The sequence below is a fragment of the Homo sapiens genome, chromosome 1, assembly GCF_000001405.40.
Source record: "Homo sapiens chromosome 1, GRCh38.p14 Primary Assembly".
Lineage (NCBI taxonomy): Eukaryota > Metazoa > Chordata > Mammalia > Primates > Hominidae > Homo > Homo sapiens.
The window spans coordinates 237,760,233-237,774,988 of NC_000001.11; the positions used below are offsets into that span (position 1 = coordinate 237,760,233).

Here is a 14,756-nt window from a genome sequence, read left to right on the forward strand (position 1 = left end):
CCATAGTCCTAGCTACTCAGGAGGCTGAGGTGGGAAGATTTCTTGAGCCCAGAAGTTCAAGGCTGTAGTGAGCTATGATAGTGCCACTACTGCAGCCTGAGAGACAGAGTGAGACCCTGTCGCTAATTTAAAAAAAAAAAAAAAAAAAAAAGCCTTCCCCGTGTTTAAATAGGGATCTTGGAGAATTAGCGTATATTCTGCATACTTGAAAATGAGTTGTGTATGCTTTTTTAAAAAAGAAAATTCTATTTAGTTTTATTTAGGAGCTTGTAGGCCATTTCTCATTTTGTGACTAAATGATCACTAACTCATTTGCGGTAATCGTTTTCCATTTTTTTTCAAGATTTAAAATCATTCAGACAGCATTTGACTAAGGAATCTGACACACATTTAATGTAAGAAGCTATTCCAACTGCAAAAACATAATTATTAGAATTTTATTTCTGCACATCTGCTGGCTTTGTAATGTACTCCCCATGTTGAAACCTAAGAATGCTTTCATGTTTGACTTTCACATGGATCATTTCAGTGTAGGCCCAGGGGAGACACTAGTCTGCCACTAAGAAAATACGGTTGGTACGCAATGAATGGAGACATGTTTTCAGTGTACGTTAACATTTGCTTCATCTTCCAAGATATATGGTGTTTAGATGTTTGCTCTCCTGAGCAAAGAAAATGTTCTATTAGTCCTCTAAATGTTTTTTTTTCCCTTGTTATTATAGTGTCCTTGACCTAAATGCATTTGAGCGACAAAACAAAGCTGAAGGTCTTGGGATGGTGACAGAGGAAGGATCAGGTATTAATGACTTACATTAAAAGGATCACCTGTCTCCCTTCCCTCCCTGAAACGAGTCAATTATCAATTACCTTTCAAGTAGAGAGATAAGAAGTTATTTTAAAGTTGATGAAATGCTTACATGACTCATTTCAAAGTTCATAGTTGGACACCGGTCACACCCTAAAACCAACCTTCCACGCCGGTCATTAACTCCTTGTGTGCCAGCCCCATTGCCAGCTGCCTTTCCCCTTATTGGGTTTTCAATGAGGAATAATGGTTGAATGAAGGATCAAGATCCTTTATTAGAGAATTTTCTGGGAAATCATAAACCACATAGATGAACCTTTCAAGAACATTTGACTTTCTTTGGCCACTTTAGCAAAGTCGGGCTCTCAGATTCTTTTATTTCCTTAGGATAGTGATCCTTTGAGCTCCTTCAGTCTACTCTCATTCCTATTCCCTCCTCTTCCCTTCCAGCACAGTGATCCTCAAATCCATACATGTTTGCAAGTCTAGATTGATGAAAGAAATTAGAGACCAGTTATTTCGCTTAAATAATTCTGTGCACAAAAGCAGAGATACACGTGATCTTAGAATTTTTCTCTCTCTAAATAGATGCTGGTATAAACTAGAAAGTTTAGCATACAATGCATTTAAAGCAGAAATAACCTTTGCTGCCCTTTCATTTTAGCAGTATTTATTAAGAAAAAAATCTTCAGTAGTTTTTGGTTTGATTTGTTTTTATTCTTTTGTGTTTGATTTTTAAACTAGTTTTACTCAGGGCCCCGTATGTTTATCTGTTTTTGTTTGTTTTGTGTGGTTTGGATATGTCTTCTTGTCAATTATTAGTTTTGGAACATTGGGTCTTTTATTGGACTAATCTTATTTCAAAAAATAATTTTTTCTCCCATCTGCCATTTGTAGTCTATGTTTATTTCTCTGAAATATTTTAGGATTAACTAATTTATCTATGTATTTTTTTCTTCTCACAAATAGGAAAAACAACATTTCTTATTGTATTTTAAAGTTTATTATTAATACCCATTCTGACATTGCTACCACTATGTGGCTCCCGTGTTTATTTTATTTTCTGCTTGACATTTGGATGTACAAGTGCAGTCAACAAAAATAAGTCATATGGTTACTAAACTGAGTTAGCTACCTTCAAGAACAATCACTGACACCATTCTATAACTTCTTAGGTTTTCTGGCCTAAGGTTCTGGCCTGAGGTTCAGAAGGCCAGACCTTTGAGAAAAGTCACCAGTGCCACTCTAAACCGACTTAGGTTTTCTGGACCCATCTGCAGAACTTGGAGCCACTGCAGATCTCAGGGCCTATCACCTGCCTACCTCCAGCATCTCTCCAAAGTCCTAAGCAATTTTCAGCTATAAAATTTCTAAAAATGAATGAAGTCTCTGTCCAAAGCCTGACTTCCCTGTCTTGGAATTAGAAATCAATTTCATTTTCCCCTGTAGTTATTACCTAATGTTCCAGGGGCTCCTACCGCAAATCCATAGTCATTCTTAGTCGCTGTTCATATCAGCTCCCAAAAGGAATAGCAGCCACTTAGGTTATTTTCCTCAGCCTCCTTTCCTTCGTCAGGCGGATATGGGTTGGAATAACATTTTCGAGTCCCAAGTCAGAAAGAACTTTGTGAGAGTGACCATTCTGATGTGAGAATTCTTTATATCTCTCAAAAGGAGATTGATTTAACTTGTGCATTCTTTTTCAACACATAAGAAAATAATTACTCAAACCGATTAACACGTTTTGTATTATTTCCTTACAAACAGAAAAACAAAAGCAAAATCTCAACTTTTTTTCTTTTTCCCCATTTCCTTTTCTTTCGACTACTGTAAATGTACTACCCTCCCTTCCTCAGTCATCACTCATGAGCGTGGTAATTATTAAAAATGAACTGTCTTTTGTTTATTTGCTCCTTTATTTGTTGTTAGCTTTGTGTACAGACTTGATAGTGACAATTTCCGTGCATTCTTTTTTGTTGTAGACTGTTTTAACAAGTAGATTATTTAATTTCCATCATTATGCATCCTGTTATTTTTTACATTTACACATCTAGCTTTCCTCCTTTTCTTTCTTGTTTCTATGAGGATGTACAGTTATTAGTATGTCAGATATGAAGGGGCAACAAGCATTTCAATTACATTTTCGGATTGGTTTTGTTGCTTTTCAGTTAAAAACCTTTCTGGTGGGCCCAGCGTCTGCAACTGTTGTGTCAATGAATGATCCTAGAATGTGTGCCCTAGTCTCCCTGTGGCGTTTCTGTCTTGAACATGCTGTGGCTTTATGGCTGTACTGATTGGTGCACGGGAAATCGGTGACAGATTCAAGGAGGACGTGACAAGCTGAGTCTCCTCCTCGCCAGTGTGCTCTGCCAGTTGCCTTCCAAGTATTGGGAGGCCTACTGAGTTTTTCCTCTATTCCTTTGAAAATCTGACAGATTACAAATCATTTAACATCAAAACTAATTTTTATTTTTGTGACTGAATTCAAAGAGCAGTAGAAACAATAGCAACTATTTGCTCCTCAAACTAATATACTAGCAAAGATGCCATTAGTAATTCAAAGTAGTTTCTGAAAGACATTCTATGCAGTGGAAATAAGGGATGAGATTTTAGATAGTACTTAGGACGCCAACAAGGCTTCCAAGATTAAATTGTGCTTTCTGAATACATGCTATTGCCTTAATCAAGAGACCTATTAGGAGCATATGTAAGGGCCACTCATTAGCTCTATTAATATTACAGTATCTTCCAGATTGTTTTAAGAATTCCTATACAGACACTTTTGGCATGTTTAAATATATCTGTTTTGAGATCACTCTTTTGTTTAAGATTCTGTAAAAGTTAAAAAAGCCTACATACACTCACAGGAGAAGAAAAATCAATCATCCCTCTTGGAAGGGATAGAAAAGGCTGAAAAAGCAACATCTGTTAGTGATGTCACTTGCTTCAACACTTGAGGCTCAGAGAGCATGGGCTTAGCACTGAGAAAATAATCTGTTGTACCTGAATCTTCTACATCCTTGCCCACTGTTTTTATTAAGCTAAGTCTCTTCCTAATGACGACAATATGACCATAAATTATATAGCCATGGAAAACGTATAAGCTCAAATGCATGAACTTTTGATACCCGCAACCCTCCAATGAGGTAGCTATTACCTTGATTTTATAGATAAGGAAACAGAGGAACAGAAAGGTTTCTTGACTTGTCCAAGGTCACACAGCTAAGCGGCAAGGCTGAGACTGAAATGCAGGCATTCTGCCTCCCACTGTTTAATTTACAGATCCCACGAGTGAAGTCACTTCCCTCCCATCTGTTCATATTCTTCAGGGGCTTACTTCATGTCTACCATTGCCTTAGGTAGCATTTTTTTTTTTTTTTTTTTTTTTTTTTGCCCCTTGACTTACTGTTTGTTTATTTAATTCTTTTTGAGATGGAGTGTCGCTCTGTCGCCCAGGCTGGAGTGCAGTGGTGCAGTCTCATCTCACTGCAACCTCCACTTCCCGGGTTCAAGCGATTCTCCTGCCTCAGCCTCTCAAGTAGCTGGGATTACAGGCCTGCCACCACAATTGGCTAATTTTTGTATTTTTAGTAGAGATGGGGTTTCACCATCTTGGCCAGGCTGGTCTTGAACTCCTGACCTCAGGTGACCCACCCACCTCGGCCTCCCAAACTGCTGGGATTACAGGCATGAGCCACCACGCCTGGCTGCCCCTTGACTTATTGTTCTTTGTCCCTTTCCGGGACACAAATCTCTTGCCAAATTTTGCATTTATTGTTAAGTTTCAAAATTGCTTTTGAACTTTTTATGGTTACAAATGTTCCTAACCTGGTATTGAGATGCCATGAGGAACTGTGTGTTTCTTTGAGGTTTGTATCTACAGCTTTCAGATGAATTATTTATACTGTTTTTTTTCTGCTGCCATTATTGTCATGCAAGTTTGACCTCTGTCTCCTTTTTATACTAAGTTTCTCTCATTTCTGTGAAAGCCTGAGCCTCCCAGTTTTTTTTTTTTAAAGGTTCTTCAGGAAATGTGTTAGTTTGTAATATGCTCAATGCTGTCTGTGCTGTATATTTTATATTTATATGTGTTTTCTTTTAATGACTTAATCAAATTCAAAAACAAAACCTGTATGAATATTTAAAATGTCATTCCATTCTTGGATTTTTAATTTGCTTTTTTATCAGAACCATTAACCCCATTACCAAATCATTATGACATTGAAAGTGCAATTTTTCTGCTTTCAAAATTCTTCTTGGAATATAGCAGAAGATACTGAATTTTTTTTTTTTGATCATGAGGTAGTCCTGGACTTCATAAAAGCAAGACAAAGTTTTGAAGTTGATCCGATTTCTTAAAAATAGTTTGATTTTTTAAAATCCTCACTACAACATTAACTACCAATTAACCTTCCCCACCTTTCTATCTGTATCTGATAATTTGTTTCACTGAGGTTCTTACTGATATATTTATAATCATCTAATCAAATTTATGTGAAGTTGAAGCAACACAAATTGATTAAGCAAAGAGATTGAATTGATCTTTAAGTATTGGTTACCCTAACTTTTTGATACTCTTGATTGCTTAATTATTTATGGGCTACCTTTTCCTCAAGATTTTCCAAATACTTTCACAAGTGTAGTTTAGTATTCTGTGTACCTTATTCTGCCATTCTTGTGGGTAAATTTTCTCTTCAAGGAAAACTTGTGATGTTGGTTCGTGGCACCAAATACATTTTCTTAACATCCTTGCAGTTTTTAAACTTTGAAGCGCTCATTTAAATTAGAGTGACTATTATGTGCTAGATGGTGTCCTAGGCATTGGAAGCAATTTAGGAGCTCAGTACTGTGTAGACAGACTTGTAAACAAATAAATTCAGAACAATGCTTTATGCATATAAAGGAATTTAGGTGGAAGTACTTAGCGGCTGGGATGTTGCGGGGCTGGGGGAGACGTGTAGTCTGAATTAGGAATCAAGGGGGTGGATAAGGAAGGCAAAGACATTCCAATGCGAGGGAACAGCATATGCAAAGTTCAAGGTACCAAACACGGCAGAGAATGGTGACTAAGCTGTTATGAAGGAAAATGATCAGACTAGAGGATGGAAACATAGTACCTGGGAGGCCACGAAGGACCTTCTCTGCCCTGCCAAGGAATCTACACTTTATCTGAGGCCACAGAGAGCCATTAAATACCACTTAAGTGATACTATGTGTATTGTTAAATGATCCACCTAGAATTGAGTTCCTAACGTTTATTGTTCAAATAATGCTTCTGCTAGACTCCACTAACAGTACAATGTAGATTTCCCATTTCTCAGTCATGCTACTAAATAGAAATTGACTCCTCCAAAGATAGTGACCAGCATTATTATTTCCTTCATGGCAGTGGGAGAGCTCTGAGTTATGCCTAATGATAGATTAGAGGGAATTCTTCAGAGTAGACTTTTCACAGTTAAAGAAATCCATCTGTTTACCAGGGAAGTAGGATAATTGGAATGGTGCTTTTGAAAAATTACTCATAGGCAACATTGTGTGAGATAGGTATCAGAGTCTCAAGGCAGGGAGATCAGTAAGGATGCTGATGAATGGAATGGATGAAAAACAATAAGAATTTCAGTGAGAGTCTTGACAGCTGAGAAGCTTAGGCTTTGGCTATAAGAGAAACAAGATGCAATCACATTTGAAAGCAAAGGGATTTTTTTTCCGCTCCAGCTAGTTTAATTTGTTTAAGAAGTTAACAGAATGTACTTTAATTCTGTTATCCGTGGGACAAACCTGATTTATTTCACATAGTGGTCATTTTCGTTGTCTTGGCATCGGAAATAGGAATGCATTGTATACAACGCTGTCAGACTGTTAACTAAATTTTAACAAATGCACTCTGGAATTTATAGAACAAACAACTGTCATACAACCTACAGAAATTCTGTAACTTAGAAATTTAGGTCATTTGACCTAAGGCTTCACATTTATTTCTTTTGTGCTTTGTAGACTTCAAAGCACTTTTAATTGTTTGATCCAATTCGATTCTCCCAACAGTCCTATGAAATGAGGAGTTGAGGAGTTTGTTCATCTCTATATCAACATGATGAAACGAAGGCTCAGAACAGTGAACTGACTAAAGTCATATATCTAGCAATGGTTTTCCTTTGATTCTTAAATTGATGAAAACAAGCACGAGTTCACAATTATTTAAATAACATATAGTATATGTAATGATAATCAGTCAAAGATTTTATTAGTTACTGATGGTAACTTTACAACATTTAGAAACTATAGCACACTGAATTCAGAAAGGCCATATAATACTGAAATTATCTGTTTATTTCCTGTATCTTCCATTAGACTGTGAACTTCTTCAGGTTCGAGATTATGTTCACCTCACAAGGTGCCTGCCATAGAAGAGTGAATGTTTTTTGAAGTTTACTGGAATCATACTCTTTACCAGTCGATAGCTATATGACATTGGTTATTTAATTTCTCAGTTGTTCACTGAACCACAAAATGGCATTACATTTAGCTAAGTTACAGGATTATAATAAACCTGAATTGAAATGATGAGATAACATATCTAGCACAATGCCTAGCACACTGTAGTCACTAACTAAATATTAACTGTAAGCTTATTTTTTAAATTTACTTTTTAATTGAATTGTAATATAATTGAAGCAGTCATACTTAAGCCGCTTAAACAGCAATATTAAAACTTCCCACATGGAATAAAATACCTGACTTTTCACTATTTTAAAATATCTGTAGCATTTTTCAGTTTTGGCAAGATGCAGAATCGATCTTAAGGTCCCCTCAAGATCCACAATCAGCATAATTTCCTCTATGGCAGCGGGGTGCTTTAGAGTCAACTGTATAGATTATAGGGGATCCTTTAATGTGGCCAGTCCTATGCTTCATGAATCACCTTTTACCTGTGCATTATTGTAGATATTGACATGACAGGACCTGATAAAGAGAATGTTAGTCTTTTGGAGTCTATTTATCCTAATTCACCAATTGTAGGTAGAATAGTAGCCTTTAAAAATTTGTTAACTTTATTAGATCTTTAAAATAGGACTTACTGTTTCACTCGTAGCTTGGTTAAATAAAATCTACCTAGATTATTTCCAAGAAAAAAATGTAATTTTGAGAACATTTTAATCCATGAAGATGGTGTTCAGGAGATATAAACACAATTAATAAATTCAAATCGCTTTATTCAGCAGCTTGGCATGATGTTTCCATATTTTTTAGTATTATTGCCACTGCACCTAATATATTAACCTTTCCACAATTTACAAAAAATTACCACAGATTATGAAGAGCCAGTGACGTAGACAGGGTACGTGTTATCTTTATTTTATACAAGAGAAAATGAAGGCGCAAAGAATGAACTCAGAAGCAGCAACAATATTGAAATACCTCTCCCTTTATTACAGTATTAAAAATCTTAAGCCTCTTATAACAATGAAACCAAAGGGATGTCCTTCACAATATGTACCTTGAGCCCTCAAGCAGCAATTACAAATCATAATTTACCAGTGTAAGAGCACTTTCAACTACATGTTACTCCATTCCGTTATTTGTTATTGATCTTAGTTTCCATCTTACAATGGAATTTCTTTTGCACACATCACAAAATAGACTGCTGATCCTGTACCTTCTGCAGACATAAAGCCATCATCCATCTCTGTTACTCTACCACTTATTTGCAGCATGGGCAATGGCAGCATTTTAATCAGATAGGAATGTCTTCATTAAGCAACAGTACCCCAGCTTATACCTGGTATCACCTGATGGTAAACGAAGGCCTGACTCGTCCCCTCCCTAACCCCTCCCCTCTTCCCATTGTTCTGCGATGTACGGTGTGTCCTTATATAAGTGAAATTACTTGTACGTGTTTCGGTATACAGTCAAGAAAATACTGTGTGTGTCGACAATAAATAAAACCTTATGTTATAAATCATTATGCATTGTGCAGAGCATTTTTAGGTACACAGGTAGATTATATTTATTTCAGTGTTTTTCTGAATACTTTCTAGTAAGGGTTACTTCTTTCACGAATATATGAACACTTAAAGTGTGTACATGGTTTATTGAATTGATTTGTTTTTTGAAAAAAAAATTGCAGATGGGCTCACAGGGAAAGAATCAATAAGCCTATGTAATGAACTCATAATATTTTGATTTAAATATCACTTTAAAGACTCTTCTGATTAAGGTGACTCATGAAAATGGAACTAAGTATCACCAATGAAGAGTTTAGTGCCTTTATTTGCCTAAAACATTCTCCCTTTCGTTTCCTATCCTGTCGTGAATTTAAACACTGAGGAATGGACTTATCAGCCAATTATGGGAGATTCAACACAATAATGTGCCTATAACACTTAAACTTGCCACGTCTGATTTGCATACGTGGTGATTTTCACATAGTCACCAAATTTCATATCTTGTGGGCTAACAGGGAAATGAGTACAGTGATTTTATGTACTTTTTTTAATGTTTATATTAGTTTTCAAAATGGTTTTGCTTCCTAACCCTACCATTATATGAAGCCTCTCACTTTGAAAGTCACAGACTGCGGACTGGTAAGTCCATCAGCTCTCTGTCACTGTGATCATTCATAATTTCACTTAAAGTAAACATACGATCATTGCCTCATTTTCTTTCTCAGCCGAAAGTATTTATTTCCATTCTGTAAAAAGTTCTTTTTTTTTTTTTTTTTAATATGTAAGTCCATTCATTCACTGGCTTTTTTGTCATTTTGCTTTCTAAACAAATTTAGATTTTGGAGCAGCTGCTCGTAATGTGGAAGTGTTTTTTTTCCCCCCACGGACACTTTCTGTCTTGAAAATCAGCTTCATTTGTGTGGTGCTGTTCTGTGTTTGTTTCTTTCCTTGTGTTTTTGCTTTCAAAGTAACTTGTGATCAAGATACCTTTAAATTGAAATACAAGTAAACTGAGCCCTTTTCTGAGGTTTTCTCCTTGCCCCAAAAATATTTGTTAGTGTTGGATGATGCAGAGGAACTTCTGTAACTAGGGGACGCCTTTCTTTTCACCTTTCTTTATTAGTTTTAGCTCTCACAACACGAGCCACCAAAGTCTGTCTTTTGGTTTCATATTTAGAATTAAGGTTGTTTGCCATTTCCTCCTCCTATGGAAGTAATGCTCAAACCAGTCACATCTCTATTTTAGATTTCAGAAATCTTTCTTTTTATTCAGTAGTCAACCTGATAACAAAGTTAATTAAAACAAGTTAATCAACAATTTTCTAGTGATTTACAGCTTTCACAAAAATCCATGAATTATTCTTTAATAAAAGAAACTCTTGGCCCCGCTTTTTTGGATACACAGAATGCTTTCCATTGAATCATTTGGTCATAATCCGGGTACAAAGCAAATTTAACACGTGTGAGAGATGCAGAAAAAGGTCCCTTCTATGTACACCTTGCCAAATACAAGAACATAAAGAAAGAAAAAAGCAAAGTTTAAGCCTTTAGGTCATTTGTAAAATGTTGCCAAACCCATGCTGCTACTTTTAACAGAGAAGTCTGAGTTTTAAAATTCAAACGTTCTTTTCTTACAAAGAAAAAGTGCCTCTATCTGCCAAGCGCATGATCTTATGAGCTTCAGATAGAAAAGTGGCTATGACTTGTGACTGTTTTTGGTTCAGAACAATGCTAGATCAACATGCAAGTTGTATGGAGGTGGGGACAGAAAGGGAGCGGCAGGCTGGGGTGGCTGGTAATGTTTGATCCCTCTGGATTTCCCACAGGAGAAAAGGTTCTGCAGGACGATGAGTTCACCTGTGACCTCTTCCGATTCCTGCAACTACTCTGTGAGGGACACAACTCAGGTTTGTGAGTCCCCGGAACTTCTGATGATACTAAGGCATAAATAATGTTTTCAAGCCAGTAATAACAAGAGCCTGTTAGTTCCAATTATGCATCGTTCTAGAGACAACAAATCATTCTAGAGCATGACTCTGCATTGGGAACTGGGACGTTTTATATATTGCTTCCCTGCTTTCACAGTCCTCGGATATCCATTTCACTTGAGTCTTATCAATAGTTTTGATGTTAGGGAAGACACATGAGGCTGGGTGCGGTGGCTCACCTGTAATCCCAACACTTTGGGAGGCCGAGGTGGGAGGATTGCTTGAACCTAGGAGTCCCAATATCAGCCTAGGAAACATAGCGAGACCCCCATCTCTACAAAAAATTTAAAAAATTATCCAGACATGGTGGTGCGTGCTCATAGTCCCATCTACTTGGGAGGCTGGGGCAGGAGGATTGCTTGAGGCCAGGAGTTCGAGGCTGCAGTGAGCTGTGATTGCCCCACTGCACTGGAGCTTAGGCAACACAGCAAGATCCTGTCTCTCAATAAAAAAAAAAAAGACAGAGGATTTATGAAAAACATATAAATAGTTATAGAGTAATATAGAGTATCATTTCTTTTGCACCACTTCTCTTTACCTTGAGCGTATACATACTTCATTGTACTAGTTAACATAATGTATCTCCATTACTTGTTTACACATCTAACTCTCTACTAGGCTTGTGCACCCCTGAAGGCAGGAACTCCATCTTAATTTTATCTTGGCTGACCCCAGCACTTTGCACAGTACTGAGGAACAAGTGATTAATGAATAAATAATTTCCTTCTTATATCCTCAAGGATAGCAACCTTTTTTAGTCATTCGTTTGCCCAGAGCTCTAGAACTAGGAATGAAGAAACTGATATTAGCAATATCTGAGACAAAAATTGAATATTGATCATCAATGGAGCACCCAGATACACTTTTGGGGTGATCACTTTTTATGGAAAATATAAATTATTTTCATAGTAAAACTATTAGATAAAAACACTGCACTAACCCACAATGATTTTGCCATAGAAAGCATTTGCCTTTGGAGTTCTTAGAATGACTCAACTTGAACTTCTGAGCAAGCATTAATAACATTTTTTTATCTTGCATAGATTTTCAGAATTATCTGAGAACTCAGACTGGCAATAATACAACTGTCAACATAATTATCTCCACTGTAGACTACCTACTGAGAGTTCAGGTATGTTGCTTTCCATATTAGTAACAAATTAAAAGGGTTGGTATGTTGAAACAATACGGCAGAGTTTTAATGTGTTTTGGTTTATAACTAGAAAGGAGTTTTTGAGATAGTTTATCTCTGATCACAATCTCTCAGCAATTCTTAGAGCAAAACAGCCACTGTTATCTCTGCTTCTGAACGTGCCTCCTACTTTTGCTCATTATTTTATTTCTGTAAGTAGAGATTTTTCGCCTGTTTTTTTAGCTTGATGGTATTTTAAAGTCATTTTCATTTTGTAAAGCACTTTTATACTCTGCTCCTTCTTCTACAGTTGTTAGACAAATTGGGGAAGAATATTTGGAACATTTGTAGGAATAGGAAAGAAAGGCTTTGCAACTACTACCATACACTTAAATTTGATAGTCTAAGGTCAGTTCTTTTCAGCTGTCCTAATATTTGCATTAATTTTCACACCACATTGCTTAAAAATCTCTGATATTGTAATCATATTTGAGAACGTTAATCAAACTGAATTGAAGACGTAGGCCTCTTAAATAATGAGAGCCCTGTACAACTTTTTTCCCCTCATTTTATTTATAAGCTAAACCAGGCACAGTATTTTTAAAACTATAAATGCAGACTTTCAGCTTTTTCCTTAATCTTTGAGTGTGTAAAATCACAACTTTTTTTTTTTCTAACTGAAAGCTTAATGTGGTGGGGGAAGGTGCATTTTGAAGTCAGTACACCAAGAAGTGTTGCTGAAAACACATTTGTCATTTTAAAAATTGTCTGAAAACCCAAATGTAGTTCACAGCTCAACTAAATTGGATTATTTACTTATCCAACCAAAATATCTTTAAAATGTATGTTATTGTTAAATACATCTGGTTTATAGAGATTGATCTTATTTAGATATTTGTTTACAATTGTTAGTATTTACAAATTTACAAGCAATCCAACCAGTTTCCTCAGGGACAGACACAAAAGCCATGGATATCAGCGAGTTCTCACTGATGCAATGTTATTAGTTTTGTTGGAGAAAATGGAGGCCAGATGTCGGTACCCCAAAAAAGATTGTTCCATGATTCATCTATTTTCTGTGCTCACATAGTAAACATCTAATTTTGCTCATGCATAAATATGCTCCAGTCTTAATGAATTCTTATGTTTGTGAAGTTCAAGGTTATCAGACAGTAATTTTTAAAGCTAAGTTTTCTTCTTCTTGTCTTCTCTTCAGTTGTTAGCTATATCTAAGAAGGAGGTTCACATATTGTATGTTTAGGAAATTCATTGAAGAATGATATTTACTTCACAGATATTTTTGTTTGCTACCATATCTATTATTTAAAATACTTCTCAGGCATAAAGTCCAAGACTGGTTAGTCAATGGTAACTTTAGAATGTGACTTGATAATAAATAATATCATCTCTATTTCCCAGGAATCAATTAGTGACTTTTATTGGTATTACTCTGGGAAAGATGTTATTGATGAACAAGGACAACGGAATTTCTCCAAAGCTATCCAAGTGGCAAAACAAGTCTTTAACACTCTTACAGAGTATATTCAGGTAAACATTTAAACATGGCTGCTATCTGTAGCACTGAACTCCATAGAAAAATGCAGTATATCTAGAGTAGTTTCCATATCTCCTATTGACCCCTTTCTGAGTTTCTTTGCAAATTGCTACAATTAAAATATTAGGTTGAGATGTGAATTTATATGGAATGAAATTGCTTCACCATTTGGCAGGTTGAGATATGATTAACTCCTTAGAGGCATGGGCTGTGATGTTAGCTCTATTGTACCTCCAGGGCCTGGTATATGTATTAAGCACTTAGTAAATATTAAGGAAGGAAGGGCGAGCAGGCACAACATTTAACCATTCTTTCTGGTATTCCACTAAAAGTGGGAAGAAGTTTCATAGAAACTTAAGAAAGAGAAGAGTGTTTGAAAACATCGCATATGTATATTATAGATAAAATTCCAAATAGCGTATAGAATATTCTTTTCTTTTTTACATCGATTTGTTTTATATTCTCCTTGGACTAAGCTTCTAGCCTTAACTTCAGATTTTTTAAAGATTTTATAAAATTCTGGGTTTTTCTGCAATCACCAAAACTTTGCTTGATGACCAGTCATCTTTCCTTTCTGTCTTGTCTCAGTGGACATGTTACCCTGAATCATTCACTATGTTTGACGTGCCCCATGCTAAGGATAAAACAGGAGGGAGAAACTTATAATTGGCTTTGTGAGACTAAACATAAGCTTGTGGGGAGAAGAAAGGTTAAGTTAAAAATAAATTGTATCCCAGGAGCGTAACAGTTACAGCTGTTTGAGTAAATAAATGACTCATGGCCAAGTACAGCCAACCAAGAGTAAGTGCTGTAGAGGTAGGAAGACCTCCTCCAGGCTCACTCGCCTCTGCATTCAGTCCCTTGGAAGCATGGCACTTTTTCTATTTTTTGCCTTGGTGGGGAAGAGGAACCTTATTTCAGCATTTCCAGATGGAAACGTCACACTTGATAATTCTAATAACATTTCCTTTAAAATCAAATAAAAGTGAAAGCTTAAGTCAGTTTTGGTCTACTCACAGTCCCATTTCCTTACCTCTCCTGGCTTCCATTATTGCCTTAGTATTCTCATGCATGCCTAGAATGATACCAGTACAACAACATTCATGTGTCATGTCCTGAATAAATAACAGGATTGACTGATGACATTAGCAAGCCACTGGATTTTCCAGAAATGGGAATCAGGATGATTTCTATAATATATTCCAAATGAAACATAACCGCCATTTCAGCTAAGAGTAGGCATTTCTTGGTTCCTAAAATAATTGAGATTCCTGAATGTATCGAAATCTAGAAGCATCCATTGAGCTCTTACTATATGCAAAACTCTAGGGTG

The 14,756-nt window shown here is 36.2% G+C and overlaps 1 protein-coding gene across 16 annotated transcripts in view; it reads left to right on the top strand.

Moving 5' to 3' along the window:
* RYR2 (ryanodine receptor 2) overlaps positions 1 to 14,756 on the top strand; it is a 791,805-nt gene that overhangs the window by 718,049 nt on the left and 59,000 nt on the right. For all 16 annotated transcript variants that reach the window (XM_006711802.4, XM_006711804.4, XM_006711806.4 and 13 more), the window contains 4 exons: positions 723 to 796; positions 10,575 to 10,655; positions 11,780 to 11,868; positions 13,288 to 13,416. In XM_006711802.4, the coding sequence (XP_006711865.1) occupies positions 723 to 796; positions 10,575 to 10,655; positions 11,780 to 11,868; positions 13,288 to 13,416 (373 nt within the window). The remainder of the gene's footprint in view (positions 1 to 722; positions 797 to 10,574; positions 10,656 to 11,779; positions 11,869 to 13,287; positions 13,417 to 14,756) is intronic.